The sequence below is a fragment of the Homo sapiens genome, chromosome 22 (genome assembly GCF_000001405.40).
Source record: "Homo sapiens chromosome 22, GRCh38.p14 Primary Assembly".
NCBI classification, from domain to species: domain Eukaryota; kingdom Metazoa; phylum Chordata; class Mammalia; order Primates; family Hominidae; genus Homo; species Homo sapiens.
Genome location: NC_000022.11, coordinates 26,399,623 through 26,414,915, shown reverse-complemented (window position 1 = coordinate 26,414,915; position 15,293 = coordinate 26,399,623). Strand labels below are relative to the sequence as shown.

Genomic DNA, 15,293 nt, shown 5'->3' with positions numbered 1-15,293 from the left:
GGAGTGCAGTGGTGCACTTATGGCTTACTGTAGCCTCTACCTCCCTGGGCTCAAGTGATCCTCTTACCTCAGCCTCCTGAGTAGCTGAGCAGCCCAGCTAATAAAAAAAATTAGTAGGGCTAATATTTGTAGAGATGGGGTTTCACCACGTTGCCCAGGATGGTCGTAAACTTCTGGGCTCAAGCAATCCACCTGCCTTCGCCTCCCAGAGTGCTAAGCATACAGGCAGGAGCCACCATGCCCGACCTTCAGTAAGTGTATTTAAATAAGTGATTGTAGACATGAGAGCTATTATAGAGGTGGGTGGGAATGAGAGTGCCTGGGAGAAAGACTTGCAGTGCTTCTCAAACCTCAGTTGCCTGAGACTCACCTGTGTTTGGGTTGAAACTCCTGACCTACTCAATCAGAATCTGAATCAGGAACATGGAGGCCTGTATTTATCAGCTGCTCTAGTAGTTCGAATGCAGATGTTTTGAGAACCACATTGAGAAATATTTGCCTCATAGAAATGGATGGATTTCCCCCAACAATATATCTCCCTTCCGGAGTAGACTTTTCCTCTCTACTTATCTCCGAATCACTTTGCAACATCCAGGCACTTGATCTAATAGCTCTTCACAGCTTTATAGATCGCCTTGGTGAAGGCCACCCAGAATAACTTTATGAAAAGGAAGAGACAGATTTCTCCAAACCGCTCCATTCAAAAATGATGCTCCAGGTCTCCCAAAACACTCCTTCCTAAATGCCCCACTTGCTTTCACATTATAAAGATATGTATTTATTTATTTTTACTTTTAGCCCGTTAGTGTCCATTATCTAATAGTCTCTAGTCTCTTATTTCTAAATGATCCTTTGTGTTTGGATTGCTCATTTTAGAAAGTAACCTCAAAGAATGAAGATTGCAACTTCTATTTTCTGTCTTCTTTTAGTGCCAGCTGTTCAAGAGGATGCTCGCTTAATGCTCTTAACTCCTGGACCAATTAACAGCCACAGCAGGGCCCTGAGTAGAGGCTTGAAACATGAAAATGAGGACAAGTGCAATACTAATAATAACAGCTTCCAAGTTTCTCCCTTTCCATAACACCAATGACTTGATGTAAGGAAAGAGGAATTTACCTTTTCTCTTTTTTTTGAGACAGAGTCTCCACCCAGGCTGGAGTGCAGTGGCATGATCATGGCTCCCTGCAGCCTTAAACTGGGCTCAAGTGATCCTCCTGCCTCAGCCTCTCAAGTATCTGGGATTATAGGCACATGCCACAATGCCTGGCTAATTTTTGTATGTTTTGTAGAGATGGGGTCCCACTATGTCACTCAGGCTGGTTTCAAACTCCTGGCCTGAAGTTATCCTCCCACTTCAGCCTCCTAAAGTACTGGAATTACAGGCATGAGTCACTGTGCCAGGCAAAAAAGGAATTTTTATATTGCTATGTAACTTTCACTTTTTCTTCCCTACTCTTTTGCTTTCTTTTCTAACCCATCAAAATTATCTGGCTTTAAAGGAAATTATTCATGTAGACTCAAGAATATGTTTACAGTATGGATTTCCAGGTTAACACGAGAGATGGGACTTTGCAGTATGAACAAACGGGGATGCTAACAATTTTGCTGTTGCTGACTCACCTTACATTTAAAGCATAAATTGTGGCTCATGCCTGGAATCCTAGCACTTTGAGAAGCTGAGATGGGAGGACTGCTTGAGCCCAGGAGTTCTAGATCAGCCTGAGCAACATAGGGAGACCCCATCTGTACAAAAAATAGAAAAATTAGCCAGGCATGGTGGTGTGCACCTGTAGTCCCAGCTGCTCAAGAGACTGAGGTGCAAGGATCGATTGAGCCTGGGAGTTTCAGGCTGCAGTGAGCCATAATCATGCCGCTGTATTCCAGCCTGGATGACAGAGCAAAACTCTGTCAAAAAAATTAATAAAGAGGCATATGTTGGCAGGACAGATGGCTCTTGCCCTCTGAATTTGTGGAAATATTATTTTACTCCTGTGCCTCTCACTGATGATAAAAGCAGTGGTGGGAGAATGAAGGCTGGGACTCACTTGATTGGCACCTATTGCTGGTGGTGGTGGTGGTGATAGTGATAATGTGTATCTGTGCATGTATGTGGCAGTAAACAGTCTCATCTTTTATTAAAATGCTTCTGACGATTCTTCAGTCCTTACTTCCAGCCCTAAATCTGAAATCCTTCCATCTTTTCCTTTTCAGTTACCAACGCTGCCATTCTCCCAGAGCCCTTGTTTTGAATATTAGAAGCCAACTTTGATCCTTTTCACTTATAAATGCTTGCCACATCCCGTACAGTCTACCTCCCTTGTCTTTCTCACAAGCATCTCTTTCCCATTCTCTTTGCTATCATGGTAATTCCAATCTGCACAATTCCCCAATCTGTACCCTCTTCCCCATTCATCCTACATATCATTCATGGTTTAAGCCTCCTAAATGAACAACTTGGTTTCAATGGCTCTCAGTTAACCAATGGAAAAGATATACTAGCTCATCAGCCTGGTTGTCAAGACCTTGCACAAGAAAGCCCCTATCTGGCTAAGCATATCCCCTATACACGGACATTTTCCTCCTTTAGGTATTTGCTCAGGCTGTGTCTATGTCCAGGAATGCCTTCCTTTGGTGTTGTGCATCTGTAAAAATCTTTTTTCACCATTTGAAGCCTCATGAAGTGCCTATAAATCAGCCCTTTGGTTTAGCCAATCTTTACTGAGTTTTAGGCACAGTGCTAGGTACTAGGGAAGCAAATAAATAAAGCGTGGTCCCTGCTCTCGGAGGAGTTCACAGACTGATAGGGAAGAGGGACGGAAGAGCAGATAATTCAATAAAGCTGATAGTTCCAAGGATTCAGATTTCTGTGGAGTACTGAGAAGGGGCACCTGACTTAGACCTTTTTGTGGGATGGAAATGGTAAGAGAATAGGTAAGTTGATACTTGGGCCAAGTCTTAAGGGGTGAGCAAAAGTTAGGTGAAGATTGCAGGGCAAGGCATGAGCCAAAGATGGAGATGGAACAAACATAAAGGGATGGGATACTGAGCAAGCCACAGCTCCAAGAAGAGGCACAGCCAGTTGCTCAGTCATGCGGGACATCTCCGAGCAGGCTGTAGAGAAACACTGTGCCTCAGAACAGTTCATCAAAGAGAGGAAGAGAGATGAATTTTTCCCTTGTTTCCTCTTGACTCTTGACTCTCATTAATTAAAGTTTATTTCACGGAGCATTCAGTCTCCACACTTAAACTAGCATTTCTGGGAAGCTGCTGGGAAGGCCAGACTCCAGGCTCTGTTGCGTGGTGCTTCGTCTGAATCTAGACATCATGAGCAGAGTCAAGTCTCCATGAGGCTGGTGTGGTCAGGAACTTGGGTGTCCAGCTGCTATGGCTCCCGCCATGGTGAATGCAGTGAAGATTGTGTCTGACCCCGGCCTTATCTCAGAGAAGGCAAGAAGGTCAGCACTGGGGCAGTGGAGGCTTTGGCTGTGATAATGGTGTCTGGGCTTTCCAAGAGGGGGAGCATCAATTGTGACTGATACAGTCCACCCCTGGAACTCCTCAGCTATACTTATGTGTTTTTATGATATCCAGCTTTCATACTATAATATCTAGCCTCAATTTTTGGAAAACAGGGCTACTACATGGAGGGTGGATCTGAGGAGGGCAAGATCAGGAGCAGAGAGATTAGCTAGGATGCTACTGCAATAGTCTTAGCAAGCATATCAACTGGGACAATGATCGTGGCAATGAAAAAGAGCAAGAGAGCTTGAGAAACATTTAGGAGATGAACAAAATTTGGTGATTGATGGATGTGGGGGTTAAGGGAGAAGAAGGAATCCAGGTTGAGTCCCAGCTTTCTACCTTGGGTAACTGGAAGAAGGATAGTGATTCCAGCAACTCAAATGGAGAAGTCAGAAGTTTTCCATTAACTACTGGAATCATGGATAAAAACCAAAAGGTTAAGGTCATAGTTTTCTAATGGCTCAAATGAAGTTTACCAGAAAAGTAAAGGCCAAGAATGGGACCTTTGTCAGAATAGCTAAGTTTTTATATCATAACAGAGAAACAAAAATTTTAGTTTCTCTATTTTTTTTGAATCTATTTTTTAAAAATAAATTGAGTGTTCTCTTTAGAAGCTCTCTTTTAAAATTTCGTCTTATGGTATGTTAATATGACAGCTGTTAGAAGATGCTATTATCTTTCATTTCGCATTACTGCCTTACAGAATAGATTTAAAAAATAGATATACTGTATAATCACACAAGTCGAGGAGCTCTTTTTTAGCCCTGAGAGTGGGAGGTAGATTGGCATGCAAGAGATGCTGGGTTCATTTTGTAAGCGTATTCACAGTCATGTTATTGCACTGACCTGTCAAGATTTAAACTCTGAGAAGAGCAGACTGGTTTCTTGCCCATAATAAAATCATGTCTGAAGTCAGGAGCCTGCAGATCAGCAGGTCTGCTTCACCCGATAGCTGCCCAGAGCTTGTTTTTAAAAGGACAGAAAAATCCAGACAGGATGTTGGGATCTAGAAACAGTGTCAAGCCATTCTTATGATGGTTTGTTTTCCTTTGTCCTCTTTGCAAAGTTGTGCTATTGTTTCTCTTTCACATCAGGTCTTAGAAAATATATGGCAGGGTAGTTCTGGACATCTTGACTTGAAATTTCCAGCAGCTCTTCCAGCAAGTGCTTTTTTGTCTCCATGGAAACCAACAATGTTTTGAAGAGGCAGTGACAGGTGGAGCACATATGAGCTACCATGGGGAGTGCATGTCAGTCTATCAGTTAAAGTCAATGGCAAAATACCCACAGTTCTGGGGCTTTCTACGGCACACCCAATTTGACCTTCCGAAGGAAGAGAAGCAGAATGATAAAGATGAAGTCATTTTTCCCCCCAGCATTTCAAGCCTATACACTGGTTCCTCTTTACATCACCAAGTCATTGTTCCAATTCATCTTCAGCACTCCCACTTTTAAGCCACCAGTGGGGCAGATGCGGTGACTGACGCCTGTGTGAATCTTGTGATCACAGTGCTAGGGAGATGGCTCTGGCAAGGGGAGGCTACTTTTCCATTGGCTGGTATTTCCTCGCTTGTGGGATTCATTCCCAGGAACCCTAGCTTTTCTTACTAGTAAATTTCAGGTTGGGGCATTTGCTTTAAGAATTCATGGTTTTCACATATGCATGTGTGGGGGAGAGAGGAGCATGCATTTTTCACAAACCCTGGGATTCTTCTGGATTTGGGGACACATTCCTGATTGATCCGTAGAGGCGGGACCCACCTGCAAAAATCCAATTACTTGTAAGCCAGGCATGGAGCACTATCAACAGGAGAGCAGTACTGACCTTCCACTCCAGCTTCCTAATCAGCTGGTAATGATACGTTTTTATGGAAACAAATATATGTAGGGTGGGTGTGGGGGCTCATGCCTGTAATCCCAGTGTTTTGGGAGGCCGAGGCAAGCAAGTGGATTGCTTGAATACAGGAGTTTGAGACCAGCCTGGGCAGCAGAGCAAAACCCTGTCTCTACAAAAAAAAAAAAAAAAAAAAAAAAAAAGTCCAGGCGCGATGGCTCATGCCTGTAATCCTAGCAGTTTGGGAGGCCGAGGTGGGAGGATTGCCTGAGCTCAAGAGTTTGAGATCAGCCTGGGCAACATGGTGAAACCCCGTCTCTACTAAAAAAATACAAAAAATTAGCCAGGCATGGTGGTGTGCACCTATAGTCCCAGCTACTCGAGAGGCTGAGGCAGGAGAATCGCTTGAACCCAGGAGATGGAGGCTGCAATGAGCCAAGACTGTGACACCGCACTCCAGCCTGGCGACAGAGTGAGACTCTGTCTCAAAAAATAAAATAAAATAAATAAATAAATAAATAAATAAATAAATAAATAAATAAGCTGGGCATAGTGGTATGTGCTTGTAGTCCCAGCTACTCGGGAGGCTGAGGCAGGAGGATCCTTTGAGTCCAGGAGGTCGAAGCTGTAGTGAACTGTGATTGTGCCACTGCACTCCAGCCTGGGCAACAGAGTGAGACTGTGTCTCAAGAAAGAAAAAGGAAGGAAGGGAGGGAGGGAGGAAGGAAGAAAGGAAGGAAGGAAAGAAAGAAGGAAGGAAGGAAGGAAGGTAGGAAGGAGGGAAGGAAGGAAGGGAGGGAGGGAAGTAAGAGGGAGAAAGGGAGGGAGAGAGGAGGGAGGAAGTAAGAAAAGAAGGAAGAAAGGAAAGAAGCAAAGAAATGTAATTTTCAATAAGATTCAGCAAAAACACTTCACTGCTCTCACAAACCCAAAAGGAGAAACTGTTTTATATATTTCCTCTGGCTTTTATAAGCCATTTGACCGCAGAAGAGGCACTCTTGTTTGTCTCAGCATACACTCTCATCTTAGAACTTGCAGGAGATGCCACATATGCCCTTGTTCTTGACCACTTATGTGCACCTGTGTCCCTTGCCTTGAGGGCCTTCTCTGGAGACCTCCGTTTGTTGACACAGGGGGCAGGCCTGAAAGTATCAGGGATTAACATCCTCTGACAGCAGCCCTCATACAATGACTGCTGAGAGCTGGAAGACAAATATCTCTACTCCTTCACCATTTGGAATAGGAAGACCAAAGTGTGTATTCTCCACTGGTCCCCTGGGGTCCCCAGAGGGATGGAGCTCCAGTCGCCCGCAGGACTAACTTGCTCAATGTACTTTTTTACTAACCGTCGCCTCTTCCCTGTCTTATTTCCCCACTTTCCTAGAAATATTTCCTGGGAGGGCTTCTTAGGTATTTATTTTTATTTCATTTTCCCATCAACTTTTTTTTATTGAGGTGAAATTCGCGTAACATAAAATGAACCTTTGCAAAGTAAACAGTTCAATGGCATTTAGTATAGGTGCAATGTTGTGCAACCCCACTGCTAATTCCAAAATATTTTCATCACCTCAGAAGAATACCCTATACACATCAAGCAGTTACTCCTCCTTCTTTCCTACCCCAGTCCCTGACAACCACCAATCTGCTTCCTGTCTCTGTGGATTTGCCTCTTCTGGATATTTCATATTGATGGAAGCATAGAATATGTGATCTTTTGTGTCTGGCTTCTTTCACTTAGGATAATGTTTTCAAGGTTCATCTGTGTTACCGCATGTATCAGTATTTCATCTTTTTTTTTTTTTTTTGACGGAGTCTCGCTCTGTCGCCCAGGCTGGAGTGCAGTGGCACGATCTCGGCTCACTGCAAGCTCCGCCTCCCGGGTTCATGCCATTCTCCTGCCTCAGCCTCCCGAGTAGCTGGGACTGCAGGCGCCCACCACCATGCCTGGCTAATTTTTTGTATTTTTAGTAGAGATGGGGTTTCACCGTGTTAGCCAGGATGGTCTCGATCTCCTGACCTTGTGATCTGCCTGCCTCGGCCTCCCAAAGTGCTGGGATTACAGGTGTGAGCCACTGCGCCCGGCCCATTTCATCCTTTTTTATGGCTGAATAATATTTCATTGTATAGGCCACAATTTACTTATTCTTTTGTCCATTAATGGACATTTGGGTTGTTTCCACCTCTTGGCTGAAGAGTGCTGCTTTGAACATCCACATACAAGTATTTGTTTAAGAACCTGTTTTTTAAATTCCTTTGAGCATATACTTAAAAGTGGAATTGTAGCATCACATGGCAATTCCATTAACTTCTTGAAGAATCGCTCAACTGTTTCCACAGCAGCTATACAAGGATTGCAGTTTCTCCCCATCTTTGCCAATGCTTGCCATCTTGTTTCTGTTTTTGTTTTTATTATGGCATACTAGTGGGTGTGAAGTGGCAATCTCTGTTTCTGTTTGCATTTCTCTAATTATTAGTGATGGTAAGCATCTTTTTTCTTTATTTTTATAGACAAGGTCTTGCTCTGTCGCCTAGGCTGGAGTGCACATGACCATAGCTCATTGCAGCCCCAAACTCCTGGGCTCAAGTGATCCTTCCACCTCAGCCTCCTAAGTAACTGGGATTACAGGCATGCACCACCACACCTTGCTAATTTAATTAATTTTTTTTTTTTTTGGTAGAGACAAGGTCTCACTATGTTGCCCGGCTTGTCTCAAACTCCTGGGCTCAAGTAATCTTCCTGTCTTGGCCTCTCAAAGTGTTGGGATTATAGTTGTGAGCCATCACACCCAGCCTAGGCATCTGTCTTACTAATTTGTTTTTATTTTGAAAAATTCCAAACACATTGAGAAGTTTAAAAAAAAAAAAAAAAGGACACAGAACACCTCCTGTGTATACCCTCCACTTCTAATTGGGCATTTCCTGCAAACTAGAAGTTTTGTGTAGAGGCTTGAGTAGGTTCAGGTAAAACATTTCAACTTGGCATCTTTAATAATATTAGCAGGCGAGAGTACTGAGCGTTTTCTATGGGCCAATTGTCTCACACAGATATTCTCATGGAATCTCATGATGATTCTGGGTAGAGGATGCAGTGGTTGCTTCTACCTCCCTAGAATCCACAGCTCTCTCTCCTGGTAATGACATTTTGATTTTCGTCCCAGAAACCACTCATCCTTTGTTGATCCAGCTGCTCAGATGAGGCTGACCTCAACTTCCAACCCCAGAGGTGCATGTGACTGAGGCATTACAACTAGAGACGCCATGATTGGCCAGGGAGAGGCACGTGACCCAAGTTGGGCCAATAAGAGCCAGCCTCTGAGCTACCATAGATCATTGAATAGAAGGTAAATCTTTGTAGGACTCACTGTTCTTTTACATATGCTGAGGACGGTGCTGCCAAGTAGTTATAAAATAGCATCAATTGTAAGATATACCCTAATTTCAGAAATGTTCATATGTGAAAGGAAAGAAACTGTCTTAGATTGCTGGACTGTAGGTCATCTCACCCTCCCTGGAGGAGAGTCTACCTGAAGAGTTGAGTAGTGTTTACCCCCACCCCCCCTTTTTTTTTTTTAAGAGATGAGGTCTCTGTGTTGCCTAGGCTAGAGTGCAGTGGCTATTCACAGACTTAATCATGGAACACTCACCCTCACATTCCTAGCCTCAAGTGATTCTCCCACTTCAGCTTCCCAAGTAGCTGGGACTACAGGCTACAGGCCCATGCCCAGCTTCCTGGTTAACCCTCCACACCTTCCTGCCCCTTCTTCAGTGGCCCACAGTCATGCACTAGGAAGCTACTGGCTGGAGCTCTGGATGCTCAAGAAACAGACCCCCAGACCCCACCCCCAAAGGCTTGCTGAAAATGCCCTGCACTCACTTACCCATCTGCCTTGACAACCAGGGTGTTCTGGTTCTTTGAATTTGTAGGACTGCATGGACTCCACTCCAGTGAGGGGCCAGCACTAAAGGCAGTTACACAGCTTCCAGAGGCAGCTGTATGATGGGTGAAAATTCCACTGGGAGTGACCATGGTGGTTAGGGCACTCAGAGGTGAGGTGGGGAGTACCAGGAACCAGCACTCCCCCCACTCAAAGTCTCCAGGTATTGGGCCGAGGAATTGGACTGTTCAAAGAGTAGACATTCAAAGCTGCGTAACATTGGATGAGTTAGCCAGCCTCTCTGAGCTGCAGCCAGTTTGTCATTTACAGGATTGCAGGGAAGATGAAATGAGATCATCTTTACGGAGCTTATCACAATGCCAAACACATTGCAATTACCGAACACTTGTTAGATGTCAGTCTGCCCAAGGTTAGCCAGCCCTTAAGTGTTCTGGCCAGGCTTGAACCCAGGGATGTCTGGCTCAACTGCTGAGCTCTTAACACCTCTTCAGGATCTTTTCACAGCCTTACCCTGCTCTCCCTTCTCCTGACTCTTGTCACTCTCTGAAGCTCGCAGCTAAATTGTAACAAAAGAGGAACTTGTGGCTAATGGCTCAGCAGGATTAGGAAGCAACTGCTGCGCATGTTGACAGATTCCAGAAAACAAAATTGTTACCAGCTCAACTCACTTTGGTGTTCATGGTGAGCACTGGGGTAGTGGGGAGCACTTCACTTGGAGGATTGGTTGTGGGGCAACTCCCACTGAGGGCTTGCAGGGGTTCCCATACCCTCGTGCTATGTGTCTTTCAAAAACACAAAGTTTATTCTGCTTCAGGCAGCAGAGACAGAAAGAAAATAAAAAATAATCACAAAGTTTAGGAATGAGGTTTGTTTTTTCCAGGCACTGCTATTCCCTGAGGCCATTCTATGGTCTTTTTATTTGAATCTCAAATGTCAAAATATTTTTTTTTTTAAGTAGAGGTGGACGCAGGAGAAATCTAACTATGAGAATGTGCGTGGCAGGTTTCAAGGCAGCCCACGACGTGAGCAGCCTGACAACTTGGTCCCTGCAAGAGGAGGCTGGTGTGGGGGTGATGTGGCGGGGGTGGGATACAGACAGAGACCAGGAGAGAAACAGAAAGTGAGAAAAAGAGACAGAGAGAAAAAAACAGAGCCACATAGAAACACACACACACACACACACACACACACACACACACACACAGAGAGAGAGAGAGAAATAGACCATAAAAAAAGAGAATAGGAGAAGAAAAACACACAGAGAGAGGCAGGGATGGAACTAGAAGAGACAGAGACAGAAAGACAAAGAGACAGAGAATCAGGAGAGAGTGGCTAAGACAGGCAGGACCTCAGGTCCTCTGGGATTTAGCCAAAGGCACTGCCCACAGCTTGGCCTTCTCTTGACTTCATTCACTCATTCGACAAATATTTAAGACTGCTAGACTTGAGTGGCAACAAAGGCCTCCATTTCTCAAGCATTTTCCATGTGCCAGGCACCGTGCTAAACATTTTACCTGTATTATCTCACTTTGTTCTCACTAGTAACTATATAGAGTAGTTATTATTATTATAGATCCATTTTACAGATTGGGAAACTGACACCTCTGGCCAAAGTCCCAGGGGTATTAAGTGATAGAGCCAGGTCTGCCTGCCTAGATCTCTCACTGTGCCATTAGGCCAATCACTATTACCCTTCCTCCTTCCTCCTTCCTCCTCCTCCTCCTTCTTCTGCTTTCTTTCTTCCTCCTCTTCTTTCTCCTCTCCTCCTCCTCCTCCTTTATCTTTTTTTTTGTTTTTTTGACACAGAGTCTCACTTTGTCATTCACGCTGGAGTGCAATGGTATGATTTTGGCTCACTGCAACCTCTGCCTCCTGGGCTAAAGTAATTCTCCTGCCTCAGCCTCCCGCATAGCTGGGATTACAGGCGCCCACCACCACGCTCGGCTAACTTTTTGTATTTTTGGTGGAGATGGGTTTTTGCCATGTTGGCCAGGCTGGTCTCAAACTCCTGACCTCAGGTGATCCACCTGCCTCGGCCTCCCAAAGTGCTGGGATTACAGGCGTGAGCCACTGCTCCCAGCTCACTATTGCTCTTCTAAATGGGACAGGAGACAGAAAGTGAGGCTCAGCGGGTAGGGAAGGAGCATCTGCTTCAGGAATTCTTCTTGTGGGCAGGGAGATCACGGGGAGCTGAATTAAAACAGTAAGAAGGCTGTTCCACATAAACATAGGGTTTTTAACACAGTGGAGGGATGGGCAGAATTGGCAAGGAACAGTAAATCATGCCCCTAAAAGCACAACATGCCTGTGTCCTAGGAACACGAGGATTAGAAGAGTTCAAAAATTCACAAACTGATGACAATTAGAATATCAGGTATAAGGAGCTACAGGGTCTTGGGAATTTGTTTCTTTTTTTAACAAGGCACTAACTCACCATATCAGGTGGCTTTGCAGTGAGCACCGCTTGCTTGGTGTGTGGAGTCCTTTAGAACAGGGATTTTTAGTCTGAGGATGTGGGTGGACTCTGGTTTGTTGGGAGTCTCCTGAGTTAGGATAGAGCTTTCCTGGTTTGGTTCTCTGGAAGCCGACCCTGAGTCATGGATTCCTCTAGAAGTGGTTCATTTGGAGGTGATACCAGAATGCACCAGAAAAGGAACAGAGAAGTGAGGCTTGGAAAGGAAGAAAGCCAATAAAAGGCATGTTACTGAGCGCTGTGGACAACCGAGGCCCCGATCTCCCTGGGAACTCTGGGGACGGCGCAGAACATGCCTCAAAGGTGTCCCTCCCAAGGAAAGGGGGAGCTGGGTATTTACCCCTCAACCCCATCCCTCTTTAGCTGAGGTCCGCTTCCAGGCATATCTCTCTGGCAGTTCAAGATGCCTTATGAGCCACCAACATAGAGTATTTGATTCTTACCTGTGGGTCTTGAATCCTTACGGATCTCAGACTTATTTTTAGAAGTAGGAAAACTGTTTGTACATTACATCAATATGATAACTTTGCAGATGAAGTATAGGTGTTTTGCAAGTATGACTGAATTCTTAATAGCTCTCTGTATGTGTGAAGTTGGGGTGGGGTGGGGACACAGGATGTATTTTCTTTCTTTCTTTTTTTTTTTTTTTTTGAGACAAGATCTTGCTCTGTGGCCCAGGCTGGAGTGCAGTGGCATGATCATGGCCCACTGCAGGCTTGACCTCCTGGGCTAGGGAGATCCTCCTGCCTCAGCCTCCCAAGCAGCTGAGACCACAGGTGCACACCACCACACTTGGCTAATTTTTAAATTATGTATACAGATGGGGTCTCCCTATGTTGCCCAGGCTGGTCTCAAACTCCCAAACTCAAGGGATCCTCCTGCCTTAGCTTTCCAAAGTGCTGGGATTACAGGTAGGGGCCACAACGCCTGGCCGATAGGATGTATTTTCTTAATTACTTGAAATACAAATAGTGTTCTATTACCAAGACCTCTTTTAATTTCAAGGGACAGAAACCCAACTCAAACTGGCTTCATCCCAAAGAGAATGTTTGGTTCATATGATTACAAAGGTGAGAGGTGGGTGGGTCTCACTTTCAGTCCAGCTGAATCTAGAAACTCCAACAACATCACCAGGGATCTGTCTTTTTCTCTTTCTAGGCTCTGTTTTACTTTCTCTTGTTTTCATTTGCAGTCATGATTGCCCTGCGCGGCAATAAAATGGCTGCCAATGGATCCAGGCACACCTCCTAGAGGCCTGGGAGCTCCTGCCAAAAGAGCCAGTCGGTTTCCCATTGGCCAGTTTGGACCACGTGACTTTCTCTGAGCTACCGTGGAATCTTTGATTGCCCAGGCTGTGGTTAGGTCCTCATGGTGTCAGGAAGGAGGATCAGTTCCACTTAAGCCTGTAGCCCCAGAGCCCCTCTCTCTTTCCTCAAAGGAAAAATTGAGGAACTGTTACCATGAGAAGAGGGCCTGGATTTCCATTATAACCGACATATGGAGTCCCTGAAGTGAAAAAGGGACCCTTCTTTTGGAAAATGTTGAGTTCTAGGCCAAAATGTACCAGGGTCTTTCTAGAGAGACATGCAATTGTTTGGCCATGGTGTATGGTTGCTCTTTCATCATTTGATGAAATCCTTTTGATTATATAACCTCTCAGAAAATTCTCCAGTAGAAAATAGTTGAAAGAAAGGAAGGAAGGACTATGGGGAGGGAAACTGGGGAAGCAGAGCAGAGCGAGGCTTCAGATAGTCACTGGAGAGGAGGGCCAGGTGGAAGCCATCTTCCTCCAGATGGGATCCTGGAGTATTGAAGGTCAGGTCCAGACTGATAAGAAAAGATGACTTCTAGAGCCACTAGTAAAGCCTCTCGAGACAAAAAAGCACACCCTCCTGCTGATTGTCCTTCATAGTCTTTTTAGCTTTCGATGGAACAAACTGTGCTGTGATAAACAACCTTGTATAAAAATCCTGACCCAAGGTGTTGAGCATTTCTGTGGGATCCGTGGAATAAATTAGGATGCAGCACACTCTGGCCCATAACTCAGCTTTAGAGCTCTGTGTAATGACCTGGAGAGATGTCCATTCGAGATATGTTCTTTCTCCCTGAATCTATGTTGAGAGAGATACACATAAAGATATAGATATATCAAGGGCGGGGGCATGGGGGAAGCAAAGCACATAATAACTTCTTTTGAGGAAAACAAAGTCTCTTATATGTATCCTTATGAGCAAAGAGAATGATGTGGAAGGAACTATACCAAAGAGTACTGGAAACATTGATGTTTCAAAGATGTGGGACGACAGGGGTTGAGAAAGGTTATTAGCTTGCTTACTAGGCCTGTGTGTTGCTTGAATCCTATAATCGCATGTGACCTTTTTCTTTCTGTCTGTTTTTTTTTTTTTTAATTGAGACATAGTCTCTTTCTGTCGCCCAGGTGGTGCAATCTCGGCTCACTGCAACCTCCTCCTCCCGGGTTCAAGTGATTCTCCTGCCTCAGCCTCCTGAGCAGAGTAGCTGGGACTAAAGCCATGGACCACCATGCCTGGCTAATTTTTGTATTTTTAGTAGAGATGGGGTTTCACCATGTTGGCCAGGCTAGTCTCGAACTCCTGACCCCCCTCAAGCAATCTGCCCACCTCAGCCTCTTAAAGTGTTGGGATTATATGCGTGAGCCACCATGCCCGGCCACATGTGACATTTTAAAGCATGTATATATTTCACATGCCATGAAACAAAATGTGAAAAGGAAAAAAAAATTACTGTATTTGTTAACGGCCCCCCAATATTAAACTCTACGGATATCTACTTGCCCCTACCCCTGCCTTCTTAGAAGGAAGGACACCAAGGAGGGTCCTGCAGGTTGGTGGATGGGGAACTGAAAAGGCAGACCTTGCTTGTATGTGTCTATGTATGAATTTATTCAGCCTGAGATTTTATTAGTAAAGGAAGTCCTCTCAAGCAGTTTCACCTGGCACAAAAGTTGTGAGATTCACGACGTTGGAAAATTTGCAAATCAAATGGTTCATTTAGTATGATACTGTACTTGCTAGTGGGATTATGTTGATTATGCACTATGAATAGCATATTTTATTTTTCTTTCTTTTTAAAAAATTGGTTGTGGCAAGAACACTTAACATGAGATCTCAACTTTTAACAGATTAATTTTTTTTTTTTTTTTTATTAGACAGAGTCTCGCTTTGTCGCCCAGGCTGGAATGCAGTGGTGTGATAATAGCTTACTGTAACTTCAGACTCCTGGGCTCAAGGGATCCTGCTGCCTCAGCCTTTCCAGTAGCTAGGACTACAAGCATGCACCATCACACTAAGCTAAGTTTTTAATTTTTTTGTGAAGACAGGGTCTTGCCATGTTGCCCAGGCAGGTCTCAAACTCCTGACCTCAAGCAATCCTCCGACCTTGGCCTCCCAAAGTGCTAGGATTACTGGCGTGAACCACTGCACCTGGCCCCGAACAGATTTTTAAGTGTACAACATAGCATTGCAGAACTTGTTCATCTTATGCATTATTTTTATATAAGAAGGGTGTGGTGGTATGGTTGCTAGAGAAA

General features: G+C 44.6%; 1 annotated feature.

Moving 5' to 3' along the window:
* Positions 9,487-10,003: an enhancer, noted in NCBI's record as "NANOG hESC enhancer chr22:26800879-26801395 (GRCh37/hg19 assembly coordinates)". NCBI's record gives its function as "activates a minimal SCP1, AML or CMV promoter by ChIP-STARR-seq in naive H9 embryonic stem cells {active_cell/tissue: H9 hESC(naive)}" and the evidence as "EXISTENCE:reporter gene assay evidence [ECO:0000049][PMID:30033119]".